The 21,233-nt window shown below is 48.9% G+C and overlaps 4 annotated features.

Moving 5' to 3' along the window:
* Positions 1-100: an enhancer, noted in NCBI's record as "active region_29879". NCBI's record gives its function as "activates an Ori minimal core promoter by ATAC-STARR-seq in GM12878 lymphoblastoid cells {active_cell/tissue: GM12878}" and the evidence as "EXISTENCE:reporter gene assay evidence [ECO:0000049][PMID:35858748]".
* Positions 151-200: an enhancer, noted in NCBI's record as "active region_29880". NCBI's record gives its function as "activates an Ori minimal core promoter by ATAC-STARR-seq in GM12878 lymphoblastoid cells {active_cell/tissue: GM12878}" and the evidence as "EXISTENCE:reporter gene assay evidence [ECO:0000049][PMID:35858748]".
* Positions 18,404-18,483: an enhancer, noted in NCBI's record as "active region_29881". NCBI's record gives its function as "activates an Ori minimal core promoter by ATAC-STARR-seq in GM12878 lymphoblastoid cells {active_cell/tissue: GM12878}" and the evidence as "EXISTENCE:reporter gene assay evidence [ECO:0000049][PMID:35858748]".
* Positions 20,939-21,233: a silencer, noted in NCBI's record as "tiled region #9216; K562 Repressive non-DNase unmatched - State 24:Quies". NCBI's record gives its function as "represses a minimal TATA promoter and a strong SV40 promoter by Sharpr-MPRA in K562 cells {active_cell/tissue: K562}" and the evidence as "EXISTENCE:reporter gene assay evidence [ECO:0000049][PMID:27701403]".

Consider the following 21,233-nt stretch of genomic DNA (forward strand, 5'->3'; position numbering starts at 1 on the left):
AAGAGCGCTCTCAGCGCGGTGGCTAAAACAGTCCGCTAGGACTATGCCGAGTAGCAGCAGAAGGAAATGGCCCGGCCCGCCAGGCGGGGAGCTGCAGACAACTAGGAGAGAGGAGGGCAGGGCACGCCCTGAGGGAAAAAACGCGGCTTTTGCAGGCCTAATGGCGGTTGAAAGTCGCCGAAGTGCAAGGCTGGATTGAGACAGACAGGCTGAAAAAGTCGCAGCGCAGCCGCAGCGGCAGCAGCCGATGGCCGACTCCTTCCTTTTCCAGTCCACGTGCCCAGGCGGGTCTCCGGCCGCCTCTCGCACCTGCCTGCAGAGGGCGCGCTGCTTCTCGCCTCGGCCTGGGCACCGCGGCCGACTCCGCTGGAAGAGCTGTGTCCTCCACGCAGACCGCTTTCCACCAAGCTCAGCTAAACCCACCGCCCCCAAGAAGTCTACCCTGGCCGCTCCAGCCAAGCTCTTCCTCCCCTGAACCCCCAAAGCATCATCAGCACTGCATAATTTAGAACTTGGATATGTGCTGGCTGGTCACTGTGTCCTACGTATGGGACAAATCTTGGCTCAACAATATCATACTTTGCATTTCTCCCCCGAGTCACACACGGCCATTGGCATACCGGCAGCCACATAGCGTGTGCCCAGCAAACACCTGGTGTACCTCTACTGGGTCTCACTGTATTGGCTCCCAAAGGAGACTCTCAGGATCCCTGATGTCGCCAAGCCCTGGGGTGGCAGAAGGGACACCTGGGAGGATGCCTGCATGGCCTCAGTTGCCACTTCGAGCCTTCACTGACCAAATGAGGTCGGTGTAGCCCACCTCAGAAGGCAATGCCTTCGTGCAAAGGAAACCCTCTGCCAGGGAATCCATTGATATGGAAATATTTGCTGAGCCCCAGCTTTGGTGCAGAGCCCTGTGCTGGGCACCAGGGACACAGTGAGGAATAGAAAGGATTCTTGTGGTGATGGGAGGCAGTGTAGAAAAATTAGAATAGCAAGAGATTTAAAGTCAGGCTGGGCGCGGTGGCTCACGCCGGTAATCCCAACACTTTGGGAGGCCAAGGTGGGTGGATTATTTGAGGTCTGGAGTTCGAGACCAGCTTGACCAACAAGGTAAAATCCTGTCTCTACTAAAAAAAAAAAAAAAAAAAAAAAAATTAGCAGGGCGTGGTGGCGCATGCCTGTAGTCTCAGCTACTTGGGAGGCTGAGGCAGGAGAATTGCTTGAACCCCGGGAAGTGGAGGTTGCAGTAAGCCAAGATTGCACCACTGCACTCCAGCCTGGGCGACTGAGTGAGACTCCGTCTCAAAAAAGAAAAAAAACAGAGAGAGATTTAGAATCAGAAAATCCCCCACAGGCACTAGCTGTGTGGCCTTGGGCACACCATGTCACTTCTTTGAGTCTCAGTTTCCTCTTCTGTATCTCTGAGGGAGTCTGGAGTAGGGTAGCGGTGGTCAGATCTACAATGATAGCCAGATTTATAATGTTTTAATGTTCATGAGAACATACTTATCCATGAAGTAAGTAATTTAAATTACATTTTTAACAGTACACATTTTTTTTTTTTTTTTTTAGATAGAATCTCGCTCTGTTGCCCAGGCTGGAGTGCAGTGGTGCCATCTCGGCTCACTGCAACCTCCACCTTCTGGGTTCAAGCGATTCTCCAGCCTCAGCCTCATGAGTAGCTGGGATTACAGGCGCTCACCACCACACCCAGCTAATTTTGTATTTTTAGTAGAGATGGGGTTTCACCAGGTTGGCCAGGATGGCCTCGAACTCCTGACCTCAAGTGATCCACCTACCTCAGCCTCCCAAAGTGCTGGGATTACAGGCATGAGCCACTGCACCCAGCTTTATTCCTTCGATTTAGCTGTAACTTTGTAACCAACCTCTCCCTATCCTCCCCTCCCCTCTACCTTTCCCAGCCTCTAATAATCATAATTCTACTCTCTACTTCTATGAGCTCAGGAGTTTTTTTTAGCTCCCACATATAAGTGAGAACATGCAGAACATGCCTGACTTATTTCACTTAACATAATGTCCTCCAGGCTCATCCATCTTGTCATGAATGACAAGATCTCATTCTTTTTTATGGCTGAATAATATTCTGCTGTGTCTGTGTGACATTTTCTCTATCCATTCATCCATTGATGGACACTAAGATAGATTCCATATCTTAGCTATTGTAAATAGTGCTGCAATAAACATGGGGAGGCAGGTATCTCAATACACTGATTTCCTTTTTGGGGGTATATATCCAGTAGTGAGTGGAATTGCTGGATCATATGGTAGTCCTATTTGTAGTTTGTTTTTTTTTTTTTAAGAAACCTTCATACCATTTTCCATAATGGCTGTACTGATTTACATTCTCATCAACAATGTACAAGTCCCCTTTTCTCTGCATCCTCCCTAGCATTTTTTTTTTTTTGTCTTTTTGACAATAGCTATTCTAGCTGGGGTATACATTATATTTTTTTAAATTGAAGCATAAAATGGAAGTGATGGTGTTTTGTGAAAACCAAATGATAAAATAGTTATGAAAGCTGTTGTAACTGAAAGAGGCACCACAAAGTTTCATTATGTTTACCACTGCTAAAATATATAGGAGGCACCCAGTTAATGTTTCTTGAGGAGAATGGAAATGTTTCCTGAGTGATAGGATCCATATATAAACATGAGAGTTAAGAGTGCCAGAACATCTGACATGTGCCAAATGCGCTGTCCAGATGATAAGTATTTAATGGATTCTCTTAGAGAGCAATCACTGGGCGGGGTGGTCAGGGCTGCATGGTGGAGGTGAGATTTCAGTTGGGCCCTGATGATGGCGTTGATCTTTGGTGAAGAGGCATGAGGAAGACAATCCAGACAGAGGGAAGGGCATGCACTAAGGGCACAAAAGCAGGAAGGTATGAATGATCGAGAATGCCAAGTGCAGGAGGGCAGGGCCCTCTGCCTCTGCTCTAGCCTCAGTGCCTAGCACAGTCCCTGACACATAGTAGGCTCTCAATACATGTTTGTGGAAGGAAGGGAGGGAGGGAGGAAAGAAGGAAGGAAGAGAGGAAGGAAGGAAGGAAGGAAGGAAAGGAAAGGAAGGGCGGAAGGGTGGGCCAGGTGTGGTGGCTTACCACTATAATCCCAGCATTTTGGGAGGCCAAGATGCGAGGATCACTTGAGCATAGGAATTTGAGACCAGCCTGGCCGACACGGTGAAACCCTGTCTCTACTAAAAATGCAAAAATTAGCTGGGTATGGTGGTGGGTGCCTGTAATCTCAGCTACTCGGGAGGCTGAGGCAGGAGAGTCGCTTGAACCCAGGAGGTGGAGGATGCAGTGAGCTGAGATCACACCACTGCACCCCAGCCTGGGCGACAGAGGGAAACTCCATCTCAAAAAAACAAACAACAGCAGCAGCAACAACAAAAATTAGCTGGGCGTGGTGGTGCATGCCTGTAGTCCCAGCTACTCAAGAGGCTGAGACAGGAGAATCGCTTGAACCCAGGAGGTGGAAGTTGCAGTGAGCCGAGATCGCACCACTGCACACCAGCCTGGGCGACAGAGCAAGACTCCCTCTCCAAAAAAACAGATTACATGATACAATGTGAGTAAAGAGCCTGCTGCAACCCTCAAGGACAATTGGTGGCCATTGTGATCACACCCCTTAGGCTGAAGCAGATTTCGGAGGAGTGCTTTGCATACAGTAGGTCATCAGCTAATACGGGTTGACTGAGAGGAAGTTTGGGGCCTTGAACCTTTTATCCGTGTAGGCAATGGGGAGCTTCGCACACAAAGTAGGGTGGGTGTTGGACGATGAACACAGATGTGGACAATGGGTTAGACAATCAACACAGATGTGGTGTGAGGTGTGGGTTGAAGTGGAGGAGGAGGAGACACAGGTATCGCAGTTGTTGCAACAGCAAAGGGATTAGTGACAGGCTAGGGTGATGGCAATGGGGATGAAAGGACAGGTAGGGCAGAGAAAGCAAATAACAGAACTTGTTTTTTGTTGTTGTTTTTGAGACAGAGTCTCGTTCTGTTGCCCAGGCTGGAGTGCAATGGCGCAGTCTTGGCTCACTGCAACCTCTGCCTCCTGGGTTCAAGCGATTCTCCTGCCTCAGCCTCTTGATGTGTCCGGAATTGGTGGGTTCTTGGTCTCACTGACTTCAAGAATGAAGCCGCAGACCCTCGCGGTGAGTGTTACAGCTCTTAAGGTGGCGCGTCTGGAGTCTGTCCCTTCTGATGCTCAGATGTGTTCGAAGTTTTATCCTTCTGGTGGGTTCGTGGTCTCGCTGGCTCAGGAGTGAAGCTGCAGACTCTCGCGGTGACTGTTACAGCTCTTAAGGCAGCGCGTCTGGAGTTGTTTGCTCCTCCTGGTAGCCTCGTGGTCTCACTGGGCTCAGGAGTGAAGCTGCAGATCTTTACAGTGAGTGTTACAGCTCATAAAAACAGTGTGCACCCAGAGTAAGCAATAACAGGATTTATTGCAAAGAGCGAAAAAACAAACCTTCCACACCATGGAAGGAGACCGGAGCGGGTTGCCAATGCTGGCTGGGCAGCCTGCTTTTATTCTCTTATCTGGCCCCCACCCACATCCTGCTGATTGGTAGAGCCCAGTGGCCTGTTTTGTCAGGGCACTGATTGGTGCGTTTACAATCCCTGAGCTAGATACAAAGGTTCTCCAGGTCCCCATCAGATTAGTTAGATACAGAGTTTGGACACACAGGTTCTCCAAGGCCCCACCAGAGCAGCTAGATACAGAGTGTCAATTGGTGCATTCACAAACCTTGAGCTAAACACAGGGTGCTGATTGGTGTGTTTACAAACCTTGAGCTAGATACAGAGTGCCGATTGGTGTATTTACAATCCCTGAGCTAGACATAAAGGTTCTCCAAGGCCCCACCAGAGCAGCTAGCTACAGAGTGTCGATTGGTGCACTCACAAACCTTGAACTAAACACAGAGTGCTGATTGGTGTATTTACAATCCCTGAGCTAGACATAAAGATTCTCCACTGTCCCCACCAGAGCAGCTAGATACAGAGTGTTGATTGGTGCACTCACAAACCTTGAGCTAAACACAGGGTGCTGATTGGTGTATTTGCAATCCCTGAGCTAGACATAAAGGTTCTTCAAGGCCCCACCAGAGCAGCTAGATACAGAGTGTGGATTGGTGCACTCACAAACCTTGAGCTAAACACAGGGTGCTGATTGGTGTATTTACAATCCCTGAGCGAGACATAAAGACGTCCCCACCAGACTCAGGAGCCCAACTGGTTTCACCTAGTGGATCCCACACTGGGGCTGCAGGTGGAGCTGCCTGCCAGTCCCGCGCCGTGCGCCCGCAGTCCTCAGCCCTTGGGTGGTCGATGGGACTGGGCGCCGTGGAGCAGGGTGTGGTGCTCGTTGGGGAGGCTTGGGCCGCACAGGAGCCCATGGAGTGGGTGGGAGGCTCAGGCATGGAGAGCTGCAGGTCCCGAGCCCTGCCCTACGGGAAGACAGCTAAGGCTCGGTGAGAAATCGAGCGCAGTGCCGGTGGGCCGGCACTGCTGGGGGACCCAGTACACTCTCCGCAGCCACTGGCCCGGGTGCTAAGTCCCTCATTCCCCAGGGCCGGCAGGGCTGGCCGGCTGCTCCGAGTGCGGGGCCCGCCAAGCCCACGCCCACCCGGAACTCCAGCTGGCCCGCAAGCGCCTCATGCATCCCCGGTTCCTGCTCGCGCCTCTCCCTCCACACCTCCCTGCAAGCTGAGGGAGCCGGCTCTGCCCTTGGCCAGCCCAGAAAGGGGCTCCCACAATGCAGTGGTGGGCTGAAGGGCTCCTCAAGTGCCGCCAAAGTGGGAGCCCAGGCAGAGGAGGCGCCGAGAGCGAGCGAGGGCTGTGAGGACTGCCAGCACGCTGTCACCTCTCACTGAGTAGCTGGGATTCGATTACAGGTGCGTGCCACCACACCCGGCTAATTTTTGTATTTTTAGTACAGATGGGGTTTCACCATGTTGGTCAGGCAGGTCTGGTACTGCTGACCTCGTGACCCACCCGCCTCGGCCTCCCAAAGTGCTGGGATTACAGGCGTGAGCCACCGTACCCGGCCAGAACTTATTTTTGAAAGGAAACTGGAGAGATGACTGCAAATTAGAAAAGAGAAATAGGTATTAACTCAGAAAGATGCAGAGACCTGCTACGTGTGTTTTACTGCCAAAAAGCACAGAGCTGAGCCTGTCTACCACCTCCTGTCAAAGTGTAAAATAACCCGGAAGACTCACAGGGGGTTCTGCTGGCCCTGGTCAGTGAAAGTTGGAATGGCCAGTTCCCAGACGCTGCAAATTTTTTGGGCAATAACATTTTCCCAGGAATTTTAGAGACTGCCGGATTTTTTTTTTTTTTCCTTCTCTTCCTTCAAATTGTCAGGACAGCACCGTCCACAAGGGGGCAGATTATATCTGGCAAAGTCCAATTACGATGGCAATACTAGTGATATTAAAAGGCAATCTCCTGGCCGGGCGCTGTGGCTCATGCCTGTTATCCCAGCACTTTGGGAGTCCAAAGTGGGCAGATCACTTGAGATCAGGAGTTCAAGACCGGCCTGGCCAATATGGTGAAACCCCATCTCTACTAAAAATAGAAAAATTAGCCGGGTGTGGTGGCAGGCGCCTGTAATCCCAGCTACTCGGGAGGCTGAGGCAGAAGAATGGCTTGAACCCGAGAGAATGGCTTGAACCCGGGAGGCGGAGGTTGCAGTGAGCCGAGATCGTTCCATTGCACTCTAGCCTGGGCGTCGCAGCGAGACTCCATCTCAGAAAAATAAAAAATAAAGGCAATCTCCCCTCATAGGTGCTTCAGCTATCTGAACAAGCACAAAGAGGATATCAATGCCATCCATTTCCCCTGCCCTATTAGCAGGAGCTGCAACGTCAGAGGTGTGCGTGTTGCCATATGGCAATGAGGCGAGCTCTGGGAAGCCAAAGAGCCCTTACCCGACTACAGGGGACATTGGTTATTGGCCAAACTTGACACTTCCTCCTGCTTCTAGCTCCTGGACACCTCACCATTTTCATCTCCCTAACAGGGCCAGGAAACAGCAGAGTGTGAGGCCCAGTGGGCCTGATGGTGCTAGGAAGACCCCTGCAAACTGAGATCAGTTGGGCAAGTGCCCACTGCAAGCTGAGCCCAGGATTGGGTGTGGGGAGGTGGAAATCCAGGAGAAATCAAAGACTCCTTCACCAAACCCAATCTGATGGAAGAGAAAAGGCAAGCCCACATTGGTTCAGAGATCACAGAGACCTGGGTTCAGATCTCGATCCCATCACTTCTTAGCACTATGTCATAAGTCAGGCTGCTGAACTTCCTGAACCTCAGTTACCTCATCTGTAAAATGGGGAGGGCAAAAACAGTATCCACCTCACAGGGTGGTTGTGGGGTTTCAGTGAGATATTGCATAAATGAGATAGAGCCTGGCTCACAGGTAGTGCTCAGTAAATGGTAGCTGGAATCCATGTTATTGTTCCAGTAACAATAAAGCAATGTGGTACCATTGACTATACTGAGTACAGAAAAACCTTGGAAGACACAAGTGGCAGGTGAGTAGAAAGTGGGTTTTTCCCTGACTGATTGAAGGTGAAGGGGCAGGAGGTGTGAGAACGGAGCAGGGAGGGCATTCCAGAAAGAGGGAAAGACAGGATGTCTTCAGGGCTGGTCCCATGGGTCTGCATCGGCAAGGATGGAGGCTGCTGTGATGGGGCTGAGTGGTTTCAGGCCCAGCCCAGCCAGGTACAGGCAGCTGCTCAGCTCCCCGACTGTGCATTAAGAAGTCAGTGAAAAAGTCATATGAGGGGCTGGGTGCGGTGGCTCACGCCTGTAATCCCAGCACTTCGGAGGCCAAGGCTGGCGTATCGCCTGAAGTCAGGAGTTCAAGACAAGCCTGGCCAACATGGTGAAACTCCATCTCTACAAAAAATACAAAAATTAGCTGGGCATGGTGGCAGGTGCCTGTAATCCCAGCTACTTGGGAGGCAGAGGCAGGAGAATTGCTTGAACCCGGGAGGTGTAGGTTGCAGTGAGCCGAGATCATGACACTGCACTTCAGCTTGGGTGACAGAGCGAGACTCGGTCTCAAAAACAAAAGTAAAAACAAAGAAGTAATATGAGGGAAAGAGTGTCTCGGATGATTGTTAGAGAAGTCTCTTGGTCTCCAGCCACAGCATTTTAGAAGAGGAAGGCAAATCTATGACAGCAAGCTAAGGAAGATGAGGCCCAATCTCCCTCTGCAGGTGCAGAGAAGCCAATAATATGGGATAAGCGACTCTGGAAGTTTCTTTCTTCTGGGCCTGAACATATGTCTAGAATTCCAAGAACATGACCCGATGGGACCCAGAAGCCAGCCCACAAAACCCTCAGCTATCAACTACAAAATGCTCATCCCGGGCATTTGTCCCCCCACCACCCCCAAACTCCCCACCCCAGGGACAGTAAACTGGAAGGCTATTCTTGACATTTCTGATCTCAGAGCCCGGTCTAAGGTTTTCATTTCCATGCTGGGTTTTGTTTTTTTGTTTGTTTGTTTGTTTAGACAGAGTCTTGCTCTGTCACCCAGGCCAGAGTGCAGTGGCGCTATCTCAGCTCACTACAACCTCAACCTCCCGGGTTCAAGCGATTCTCCTGCTCCCAAGTAGCTGGGACTACAGGCACACACAACCATACCCAGCTACATTTTTGTATTTTTAGTAGAGACAGGGTTTTGCCATGTTGGCCAGGCTGGTCTCGAACTCCTGACCTCAAGTGATCTGCCCACCTCAGCTTCCCAAAGTGTTGGGATTACAGGTGTGTGCCACCGCACCTGGCCCATCCTGGTTCTATAAGTTTAACTTCCCCCGTGAGTAGATCTTTTTAGGGCGCTGACAGAGCCAGCAGAGCTGGGCTCATTTCCTGTTTGCCCAGATGCTAAGCTTCCATATAACCCTTGGTTACACAGGCCCTTGGAAGGAAGCCTTGGCCTAAATAGCCCCAAACAAGTGATAATAGAAAAGCCTTTTATATTTAGCTTTTGGATATTGTAAGTGATTTTTGGCAGCATATTTCTCTTCCTAAATAGAGCTGGATTGGGCTAATTAAAATTAACTTTATGGGATGCAGAATAGGAGAGTGGTTAAGAGCCTTTATAGACCAGTGGTATGGGCGCTCAGCCACACAGTCTGGTTTTCAGTCCAATCACCACCATTTGCTAGCTGTTTATCTCCCTGAGTTTCTTCATCTGCAAAACACAGATATAGCCAGAATACCTTTCTCATTGGGTATCTGTGAGGATTGCATGAAGACTAATACATATAACACAGCCTGATGTCTGGCCCCTGGAAGCATTCAATAAAGGGTGGCAGTCATAGTTATCATGACATTATTTCCCTAGTAGACCCACTGGGCTTTGGATAAAGGAAGTCTAAAGGTAGCCTGGGGGAGGGGTATATGAGGGAAAATCAGGCCAGGATTAAAAACTGTCAGCATAGGCCCGGCACGGTAGCTCTCATCTGTAATCGTACCACTTTGGGAGGCAGAGGCAGGTGGATCAGTTGAGGTCAGCAGTTTGAGACTAGCCTGGCCAACATGGCAAAACCCTGTCTCTACTAAAAAATACACAAATTAGCCAAATGTTGTGGCAGGTGCCTGTAGTCCCAGCTACTTGGGAGGCTGAGGCAGAAGAATTGTTTGAACCCGGGAGGCAAAGGTTGCCGTGAGCCAAGATCGTGCCTGGGTGACAGAGTGAGACTCTGTCTCGCAATAAATAAATAAATACATACATAATAATAATAAATTGTCAGCCTATAATCCAGAAAAAAACAATCCACCTGTGGATAATCGAGTTATCCACTTCTTATTCTTTTTTTTTTTTTTTTTGAAACAGGGTCTCACTGTTGCCCAGGCTAGAGTGCAGTGGTGTGATCAGAGCTCACTGCGGTGTTGAACTCCTGGCCTCAAGTGATCCTCCTGCCTCAGTTTCCCAAAGTGTTGGGATTACAGGAGTGAGCCACCACTCAACGGCCAGAACGTGATTTCTTGACCCTTTTTCTCAGGATTGTGCTAGCTCCTCAGCAGGTTTAGGCTAGAGTGAGCAGGTGGCATTGCCCCAAGACCAGTTGGATGCAGAGTCTGTCAGGAATCACTTCTCTATGCAAGGGAGTAGGTCTGGCTAGGCACAGGTATGTGCTTGCAAGGTAAATAGTTGTTACTGACACAGTCACCTTTGTCTGTGAGGGGAGGAGGAGGCCAATGCCTATGGAAGGACAAAACTCCTTCAGCCTTAGGCAGGTCTTACCTGCCCCTGCATTCTTGTCAGGTTATATATTGCTCTTGTGATGTGTTTGGAAAAAGACAAGAAAACATACTTTTTTTTTTTTCTTCTAGCCAGGACCTCTGGCTAGAGGTAGAGGGACTTCTTAGACGTCACTATCATGGCTGAAGCCTCAATTCTGTCCTAAGCCAGGAAACCAAATTGGTAAATTTGGTCTTTTTTTTTTTTTGACAGGGTCTCACTCCTGTCTCCCAGGCTGGAGTGCAGTGGCACAATCTCAACTCACTGCAGCCTCGATAGCCCAGGCTCAAGTGATCCTCCCACCTCAGCCCCTCAAGTAGCTGGAATTACAGGCATGAGCTACCACGGCCGGCTAATTTTTGTATTTTTAGTAGAGACAGGGTTTCTCCATGTTGGCCAGGCTGGTCTCGAACTCCTGACCTCAGGCGATCTGCCGGCCTGGGCCTCCAAAGTGCTGGGATTACAGGCGTGAGCCATCATGCCTGGGCTAGTAAATTCAGTCTTTATATCATGGTTCCTCCATTGTTGTCAATAACTCTAGCACTGTGAACATGCTTTTGTGAGCTGATGCTGCTATTTACTTCTCTATTTACACATTTACGTATTTGTGTCTCCCTGATACCACATTTATCTTTTGAATGGGTAATATATTGGTAATATATCCTCGGATACCAAATTGACAAGGTATAAAGGGTTTACAGTAACAAGTTAGTTTCCCTCCCACCCCTGTTCCCTCGCCACCCACAGGTAATCTCCATGACCACATTCTGGTGTTACCTTCCAGAGATAAGCTATGCCTATCCAGGCATCTATTATTTTAGGTGGTAGCATTCTTACTCATATTTGTATCCCAGTGCGTAGAGGAGTGCCAAACAAAAGTATGCTGTCAAAAAAAGCTTGTTGGTTGCATGTTTGTTGCTCCAGATTTGTTGCCCTCATCCCAGCCATGGGTGCCTGAACTCTCTAGTTGAAATTTTCATGAGCTTATCAAAATTTTACCTGGGGCCAAGCGCGGTGGCTCATGCCTCTAATCCCAGCACTTTGGGAGGCCGAGGCAGGCGGATCACGAGGTCAGGAGTTCGAGACTAGCCTGGCCAACATGGTGAAACCTCGTCTCTACTAAAATTACAAAAAAAATTAGCTGGGCGTTGTGGCGGGTGCCTGTAATCCCAGCTACTTGAGAGGCTGAGGCAAGGAGAATCGCTTGAAGCTGGGAGGCAGAGGTTACAGTGAGCTGAGATTGCGCCATTGCACTCCAGCCCAGGCAAGAGTGTGAGACTCCGTCTCAAAAAAAAAAAAAAAATTTTTTTTTTTTTTTTTTTACCTGTTTGGACTTGCAGCTCTGGCTTTATTTTCTCCAGACTGAAATTTACAAAGAAGCTACTGGGGCCTTGCCTAATATAAACAAGTTATTCTCCTTCACAATAGAACTCTAAAGAGCACCCTGATGCATGAATTTTCTTCCCTGCTCTGTTCAGTGTAAAACAGAAGCTTAGCCCCAGCTCCTCTTTGTTAGGTGACTGTTCCCTGAGGCAAGGGTTAAAGAGACTTTGATGCTGCTCATCTTAGGGGAGTCTCTAAGCATACTCATCTCAGAATTCTGGCTCAGGAAATAAAATGCAGGAGTTTCCACTGCAGTATTCCTCAGTCCTTGACAGAGCTGGGTTTTCCAGAAGCATCCAGACAGCAGTGCCACCTTCATATTCTCTCATATTCTCTCTCTCTCTCTCTCTCTCACACACACACACACACACACATTTTTTTTCTCCCTGATGTGGCTAGGGGACAGGCTGGACTCCTGCACTTGATCCATATAAAAGAACCTAAGGAAGAAAGAAAAAGGGAGGAGTAAGAGGGCCACTCCCTGTCCTGTTCTATGATCACGAGGCTTGTAAACTCAAGGAGGCAGCAGGGCAGAGTGCCGAAGCAAACAGAGGCTGCCTGGGCTGGAATCCTGACTCTGCCATTTATCGCCTGTGTGACTTTGAAACCACCTTTGCAAAATTATAACTGAGGAAGTTATGATAGTGAAAGAAAACAGACCTAACCGATTCCATCTTGCTTCTAACCTTTAAGCTGTCCTTGTTCATTCCTGGGCATAGGCCGAACTCTCCATTGCAATTCCCCTGTCTTGATAAATCGTCTCTATCTAGGCAGTGAGCAAGGTGAACCCACTGGGTGGTTACAACTTTGGACAAGTTATTTAACCTCTGTCTGCTTCCATTTCTTCCACCGTAAAATGGGGATAACTGTACCTACTTTAAAAGACTTGTTATGAGGATTCAGTGAGTTAACAGATTGCAATGCATTTAGAACGGTGCCTGGGCATGTGGTAAGTGCAATATACATGCTATTTATTTATTTATTGTTTTTATTTTATTTTATTTTTGAGACGGAGTCTCACTCTGTGGCCCAGGGTGGAGTGCAATGGCGCGATCTCGGCTCACTGCAACCTCTACCTCCTGGGTTCAAGCAATTCTCCTGCCTCACCCCCCAAGTAGCTGGGACTACAGGTGCCCACCACCATGCCCAGCTAATTTTTGCATTTTTAGTAGGCACAGGGTTTCACCATGTTGGCCAAGCTGACCTCAAACTCCTGACCTCAGGTGATCTACCTGTCTTGGCCCCCTAAATTGCTGGGATTACAGGCGTGAGCCACTGCACCCCGCCTATACATGCTTTTTAAACAAAAAGAAAAACGTCCATGTCAGTGGTTCCCGTGTTCGATGCATGTCCCTCTATTCCCTGGCTGTAAGTTTCAAGGTTTTCACTTACCGATCTTGGGCCCTTTGGTGCATTTTTTTTCCTATTGGGAAAAAGCTAAATGTTGTGTTGTATGGTGCATTTCTTACACAGAAAGGAAAAACTAAAAAATAGCCTGTATCTAGGCTAAAATTCCTGTATAGAGGCAAGATTGTGTCATCTAAAGTTCTTACTACATTGACTTTTTCCTGATGCTGTTCTTGGGGCCCCCACTCTGCCTCTAGAGGGCTGGTAAGAGTCCACAGGAGAGCTTCCCAAGCCAGTGCCTTTTAGGAAGAGTTGCTGTGGCTACTGAGCTGATCAAAGGTCTCAGCCTCCACAAAGAAGCATGTGCTGCTGTGGCAATGGGCCTGAGGGTACGGGGGCCCCAGGGTTGCAGGGCAAGACAACAATCCGGAATCCAGCTGTTGTCTCGGCCATCATCTGAGGTCATCCTGCCAGATTGGCAGGCTGTGCCCTAGACCACAGAGGTAGCCCCTGCTCTTCAAAGGGCTGGATTGTCAGCCCAGCCCCTCCTAGGCCTTCTCTTCAGGCTTCTTCTTTCTACATTATCCCAACACAAACAGCTTGACTTCCAAGTGACATTGCACCAGAAAGACTTCCAAAGTCAGCTCACCTATCCTAGGGATCTAGCCCGGCCAGGGGCTCCTATGAGGGATTCCATAGGAGGAGTCAGAGACTGTCATCTAGGAAGGCTTCAGAGCTTCAGGATAGGTCCTGGGCAACCCTTGATCGCCCTCAGAGACTCACTCAGGTTTTGGCGTCCCTCGGTTACAGAAACCCTCATGACCCTAATCACATTGCAACTGCATTTCCTTCCTGTGCCTCGGGCTCAGTCAGGGTTGGGCCCAGGTGTGCCAGAACAGCAGGCGTTCAAAAAGCACATCGCTTGCTTCTCAGATCTTGCTCACAAACAGTTTTGTGCAGTTCTATGGAAAGGAAAAAAAAAAAGTGTACCCTTAACAACCAATATACACATACAGACTCATTCAGTGAACATTTGTTGAGTGTCTGTTATGAACAAGGTCCTGTACCAAGTACCAAGGGGAGGGGAAGAGGATGCAAAGTTGACTTAAGCATAGTCCTTTCCCTTAAGGACTTTGTCCTCTGCCAGAGAAGCCAGTCACACATATATAAATGGAATTAGTTTATTAGTTTAATAAAGTGGAATTAAAACAAGCTGTAACATAAGACCAAACTATTTATTGACTTGACATTTGCTGAACAGATATTGTGGGCCAGGCACTGTACTAGGAGCAAGGGATACACAGCAGAGAAGAAGAGAGAAAAAATCCTACCCTTATGGAGCTTATATCCCAGTGAAGGAGGCAGAGAAGTAAGAATTACAATATAGTGTGACAAGAGTGTTAAGAGGGGTCAGCAGACTGAGATTTGGGAGCAAAGAAGGAAGAATGTTTAACTAACTGACATTTGGGGAATCTGGAAACACTTCCGAGAGAAAGCTCCATCTCGGCCGGGCGCGGTGGCTCACACCTGTAATCCCAGCACTTTGGGAAGCCGAAGTGGGCAGATCACTTGAGGCCAGGAGTTCGAGACCAGCCTGGGCAACATGGCAAAACCCTGTCTCTACTAAAAATACAGAAATTAGCTGGGTGTGGTGGCACACACCTGTAATCCCAGCTACTCGGGGAGCTGAGGCAGGAGAATTCCTTGAACCCAGGAAGCAGAGGTGGCAGTGAGTCAAGATCTCACTACTGCACTCCAGCCTGGTTGACAGAGCAAGATTGTGTCTCAAGAAAAAAAGGAAGTGCCATCTCAACCACAGCTGCCATGTGGCATGGCTACAGTGTGAATGTTGTGCATTACCAATTGTAACAGCCCAGGCTGAAGGATAAATAGGAGTTAGCCAATAGTACTTAGCAGGTGTGGAGAACCAAAAGTGGTTCAAAATGGCTAGAGTGCAAGGGCCATCTGGCAAATGTGGATGGAGGGAGCATGAGAGTTGGAAACACATCATTTTGCAAATATCATTATAAAGATTGGATGGGCCAGATGTGGTGGCTCACGCCTGTAATCCCAACCCTTTAGGAAGCTTAGGTGGGAGGATCACTTGAGGCCAGGGGTTCAAGACCAGCCTGGGCAACACAGCGAGACCCTGTCTCTACAAAAAATTAAGAAGATAAGCTGGGCACGGTGGTGCAAGCCTATAGTCTTAGCTACTCAGGAGGCTGAGGTGGGAAGATCACTTGAGACCAGGAGTTTGAGGCTCCAGTGAGCTATGATCGTGCCACTGCACTCCATCCTGGGGTACAGAATGAGACCCTGTCTCAAAAAGAAAAAAATATCGGATGAAACACAACATGCCAAAATCTGTGGGATACAGTAAGAGCAGTACTAAGAGGAAAGTTTGTACCAATAAGCAACTATATCAAGAAAATATAATGATTTCAAATAAACAACCCAACAATGCACCTCAAAAAACTAGAAAAGTGGCTGGGCGCAGTGGCTCACACCTGTAATCCCAGTACTTTGGGAGGCCGAGACGGGCAGATCAGGTCAGGAGATTAAGACCATCCTGGCTAACGCGGTGAAACCCCGTCTCTACTAAAAAAAATACAAAAAATTAGCCGGACGTGGTGGCGGGCGCCTGTAGTCCCAGCTACTTGGGAGGCTGAGGCAGGAGAATGGTGTGAACCCGGGAGGTGGAGATTGCAGTGAGCCGAGATCGTGCCACTGCACTCCAGCCTCGGCGACAGAGCGAGACTCTGTCTCAAAACAAAACAAAACAAAACAAAACAAAAACTAGAAAAGCAAGAACAAACCAAACCCAAAATTAGTAGAAGGAAAGAAGTAATAAAGGCCAGAGCAGAAATAAATACAATTGAGACTTAAAAAAATATACAAGATCAATGAAATGAAAAGTCAGTTTTCCACTAAAGAACTTATCCATGTAACCAAAAAACAACCTGTACCCCAGAAAACTACTGAAGTTTTTTTTAAGTTGGTTTTTGAAAAGATTTAAAGAAACAACAGGCCGGGGCGTGGTGGCTCATGCTTGTAATCCAAGCACTTTGGGAGGCCGAGGTGGGCGGATCACCTGAGGTCAGGAGCTCGAGACCAGCCTGACCCACGTGGTGAAACCCCATCTCTACTAAAAATAAAATAAAAATAAAAATTAGCCGGGCAGTAGTGGTGCGCGCCTGTAATCCCAGCTCCACTCGGGAGGCTGAGGCAGGAGAATCGCTTGAGCCCAGGAGGTGGAGGTTGCAGTGAGCCAAGATCATGCCATCTAAAAAAAATGCTGCGGGAATGTTCTTTAGAACATTTTTTTCCTCTCAAGTACAGGAGCTACTCTAGGGTCAGGTATTGCATTTAGCTTTTTTAAAAATCTGGAACAGGATATCTCTATTCTTAGGAAATATACACTGAAGTGTAGAGGTAAAGGACCATGATATATACAACTTATTCTCAAATGGTTCAGAAAAAGTGTGTGTGTTTATAGTATGCATATAAAATGTATATACATAATGTGTATATATTATGTGTATGTGTATATGTGTATATATAGTGTGTATGTATAAAATGTATATACATAATATGTGTGTGTATCTGTATGGAGAGAGAAAGAGCGAGAAAGAGAGAGAGAACCCAAATGATAAAGGAAATGAGATAAAATGTTAAAAGCAGATGAATCTGGGTAAAGATTATACAAGTGTTCCTCGTGCTCTTTTTATTTTTGCACATTTTGTAAATTTGAATTTTTTTTTATTTTTATTTTTTTGATGGAGTTTCACTCTGTTGCCCAGGCTGGAGTGCAGAGGTACAATCTTAGCTCACTGCAACCTCCGCCTCTCAGGTTCAAGTGATCCTCCTGCCGGCATCTTTTTTTTTTTTTTTTTTTTGGCATTTTTGGTAGAGACAGGGTTTTGCCATGTCAGCCAGGCTGGCCTTGAACTACTGAGCTCAGGCAATCCACCCACCTCGGCCTCCCAAAGTGCTGGGATTACAGACGTGAACCACCGCGCCCAGCCTGAAATTACTTCCAAATAAAGAGTTTTTTAAGTATAGGACAGGAGCGGTGGCTCACGCCTGTAGTCCCAGCACTTTGGGAGGCCAGGGCAGGGGGATCACAAGGTCAAGAGATCGAGACCATCCTGGCCAACATGGTGAAACCCCGTCTCTACTAAAAATGCAAAAATTAGCTGGGCATGGTGGCGCACGCCTGTAGTCCCAGCTACTCGGGAGGCTGAGGCAGGAGAATTGCATGAACCTGGGAGGCAGAGGTTGAAGTGAACTGAGATTGTGCCACTGCACTCCAGCCTGGCGATAGGGTGAGACTCTGTCCCAAAATAAATAAAAATAAATAAATAAAAATAAAATAAAAAAGTATGGCAAGACAGAGTACCAAGGATTGGGGAGGGAGTGGTGAGAAATGAAAGCAGCAGCTAGTTCTTGAAGAGACCTGCTCACCATGGTCAGAATCTGGACTTCGGGGCAGTAAAAGGTATATTCCCAAAGGAGTGAAAGGAGCCAGGCATGGTAGCTCATGCCTGTAATCCCAGCATTTTGGAAGGCCGAGGTAGGAAGATCTCTTGAGGCCAGGAGTTCAAGACCAGCCTGGGCAACATAGAGAGACCCCGTCTCTACAAAAAAAATACAAAAATTAGCCAGGTGTGGTGGCACGCACCTGTAGTCCCAGCTACTCTGGAAGCTGAGGTGAGAGGATCGATTGAGCCCAGGAAGTCAAGTTTCAGTGAGCCATGATCACGCCACTGCACTCCAGCCTGGGCAACAGAGCAAGACCCTGTCTCCAAAAAGCAAACACAGGACAAAAAACGAAAAGGGTGTAGGGGAAGGGGTTGACCTTGGAGGAAGTACCAGGATAGAGAAAAGATGGGCATTTTGCAGGCTGAGTAGAAGGATGCATGGTGGTCATCTTCTTAGCTCTGGTTATGTTTGAGCGACACATCATAGTACAGATACAAAGATGAATGAGGCACGGTGGGCTCTTCTCAAGAAGTCTGGTGGTGTCACATCCTGGAGAACTGGTTGCGGCAGTGTCCTGGAGATGTCAGAGGCGGCCACAGAAGGGCACGGGCTTCAATGTCACCTTGCAGGACTGGAGAGGGGTTGGTGCAAGCTATATCTTATAGGGGGCTGTCTCTCCAGCTGGCCTAGAGGATGGGGGTTAAGAAGAGACTTGAGTTTTGTAAGAGAAAAAGCCTCCCTCAGACTCTGAAGACGATCAGGATCCGCCCACCCAGAGGAAGAAATGCGTGGCTCTGTCAACTTTTCAGGTCATAGGTCTTGAGTGGGAGAATGGGAGCCCTTTTTCAACCCCACCCCCAAATTTCCTCTTGCCAGTTTCTTTCTCCCTCCTGGAAGGAAGCCTGGACACCACATTCTGGGAGATCATAACTCTCCCCCTGAGAGCTATTTGCTGGCTCTCCCCACAGAAAGACCTTGGGAGGGAAGCACAGTCACCTGTCATGGCAGGAGCTGGCAAGCTGAGACCTCTCCCTTCCACTGGCCCTGCCTTCTTCAGGGCCAGGCTTCCTCATGGGCTGTCCCTTCAGAACCCAGCCCACACCTTTTCAGGAAGCCACTCCCCACAAATCCCCTCTGGTCCTATGGACATGCGCATTACCCTTCTCTGGGCCTTCCCCTGACTTCCTCATTGGTGTCAATTTTTTTTTTTTTTTTTGAGACGGAGTGTTGCTCTTGTTGCCCAGCCTGGAGTGCAGTGGCGCGATCTCGGCTCACTGCAACCTCCACTTCCCAGGTTCAAGCAATTCTCCTGCCTCAGCCTCCTGAGTAGCTGGGATTACAGGCATGTGCCACAATGCCCAGCTAATTTTGTATTTTTAGTAGAGATGGGGTTTCACCATGTTGGTCAGACTGGTCTCAAACTCCTGACCTCAGGTATTCCGCCCGCTTTGGCCTCCCAAAGTGCTGGGATTACAGGCATGAGCCACCGCGCCCAGCCTCAAAACTTTCTTCTCAGTTCACATTCCTTCCTTTCTGCCAATGCCAGTAGGGTGAATCAGATAACCTAGAGTGGTGAGCTAGCTAATATGGCAGTGCTGTCCCCAGAAACTACTGGAATAAGGGGGAACATCAGGCACCTACAACCTGGAGAGAAAGACTTGTCAGGCAGGTCTGCTTCCTGCTGCCTTGGGCACTTCCTTCGGGACTGGTTTGTTGAGAGGGTTGAGAATGGATTGGAGGGGGGGGTGGGGATAGTGGGGGAACTAGAGGCAGGAAAGCTCATCAGGAGGCCTTGCTGCACTTCCACATAGATGGGGGCCTGACCTGAAGTAGTGACCGTGCATGGAGAGCGAGGTTGTTGAAGTGAAAACGTGAAGGCTAGAACAGGCCTGACTTGATGACTAGGCCTATGGGAGTGTGAGACGAGGGTGTGCCCAGATTTCCTGCTTGGCCAGGTAGGTGAGTGGCAGTGCCACTTATTGAGAAAGGGATCATCAGGCAGGACAAACTGTGAGTTTGAGGGGGAAGGAAAGGATGACAAGTTGTGTTGGGTAGATTCAATTTGAGTTGCCTATAGGATGTGTAAGTGGGGCTGTCCAGGAGGCACTTGGATGGGAGTGTGTGTGTTTCGAGCACAGAAGCAAAGTCTAGTCTGGAAACAAGAGTATTAATTTTCTCTCTCTCACTGTTTCTCTCTCCTTCACACACACACACACGTGTGCGCGCGCACACACACACACACGTGCAAACACCAGAACTTTCAAAGCTAGGTGCACTCACAGGGTCATTAAGCCCAGGACATGTTGACAAGGGTGTGGAGGTGTCATCCTCGGGGACATGCAGGGAGGGTTCCTGGACAGTGATTTTTACATCGCCTCCTTAATTGTCCATAACCATAACCATGATCCATAGCCATAAGGACAATAGGAATTGTGGTCCCCCAGAGATTTTTTTCCTACTGAAACTCCATAGTCACACCTCTTTGCAGACTTTATGGCAGGCCTTCCCTTTTTTCCAAACCCCTGTGAATAGTGTCAGACAGCATCTGCGGGAGGATGTGTGTGAATGCTGGGATGCAGGGGGCATGGCAGGGAGTGGAGCACTTGTAATTCTGTTGATGTTGGAGCCCTCCCCTTTCAGAGTGCATTGAGTCCTTAGTGTGTGCCCCCTCGCCCCGATCAATTCCCAATCCCTGTGTTGCAGAGAGGGCAGCACCACCTTCTCAGCCGCACAGGATATTCTCAGGCTGATGCCAAGAGCAAATCACTCCCAGCCAGCACACTTCTGCCAGCCTTGGTAGGCACAGCGTGTAGCAGTGCGCATGTGGGTGGGGACAGAGGTGACTTTTCTCATAGACTGGGAGAAAAAAAAAGGCATCTGAACTTCCTGGTTACAGAACATCCGGCTAGTAGAAACCTTTGTGTGTTTGTACGTGTCGGGCAGGGGGGGATTAGTGAGGTTCCCCTCCCCTCTAGTGTTAGCAATAATGAAGGACACTCTTTGTACAAGACGTCAAGATGAGAGCTTCCACACAGGACTCCACACTGTGCTTCTGTTTCACCAGGAAGAAATCTTGAATGTCAGCCAGGCTTGTACTCATCAATTCATTCAGCCAGTCTCTGAGGGCTGGTCCTTCTACTGAGTGCTGGCTAGGGTGGGGCTGAGGACTGTGCCCCTGGAGAGCTGCCAGCCTAGGTGCAAACACAGAACCTTCATTCATGCAGTGACATCACAGCAGCCCATCACAACACTGCCCCAACTGCATCAGAGCAGTTGCACCTGATAGGTTTCCCAGGGGTTACCTGAGGAGCAAAGCCAAGTGCGTGTGGCCCAAAGTAGACAGCATATAGGGCCTGCACGCTGAGGACTGCCCCAAATGCTGGCCCAGCTTTTTCCACCAGGGAGGGTCAGATTCCAAAGCCGACAGCCACTCAGCACGAGGCCCAGACCCAAATTCCACTGCCAGCCACTTCTACTGCTGAAAAGGAAATAGGGCCGAAAATGTAGACTTCAAGGGCAAACACTGGATCACCCTTGGGAGTAGCTTCCAGAGCTCTGAGTAACATCCTGGAGGCAGAAGAGAAATGTTTGCCCTGCCCCCCAGCCCACAGTCTCCAGCATCACCAGCCTTTCTGGAAAGCCTTCCGAAGTCAATTTCAGCCCAGCCAGGAGCAGGGCCAAGTTGACAGAGGGCTGAGCCAGAGCTCCCCTGCACTCACACCTTGATCTTT

This window comes from Homo sapiens, chromosome X (genome assembly GCF_000001405.40).
Source record: "Homo sapiens chromosome X, GRCh38.p14 Primary Assembly".
NCBI classification, from domain to species: Eukaryota; Metazoa; Chordata; class Mammalia; order Primates; family Hominidae; genus Homo; species Homo sapiens.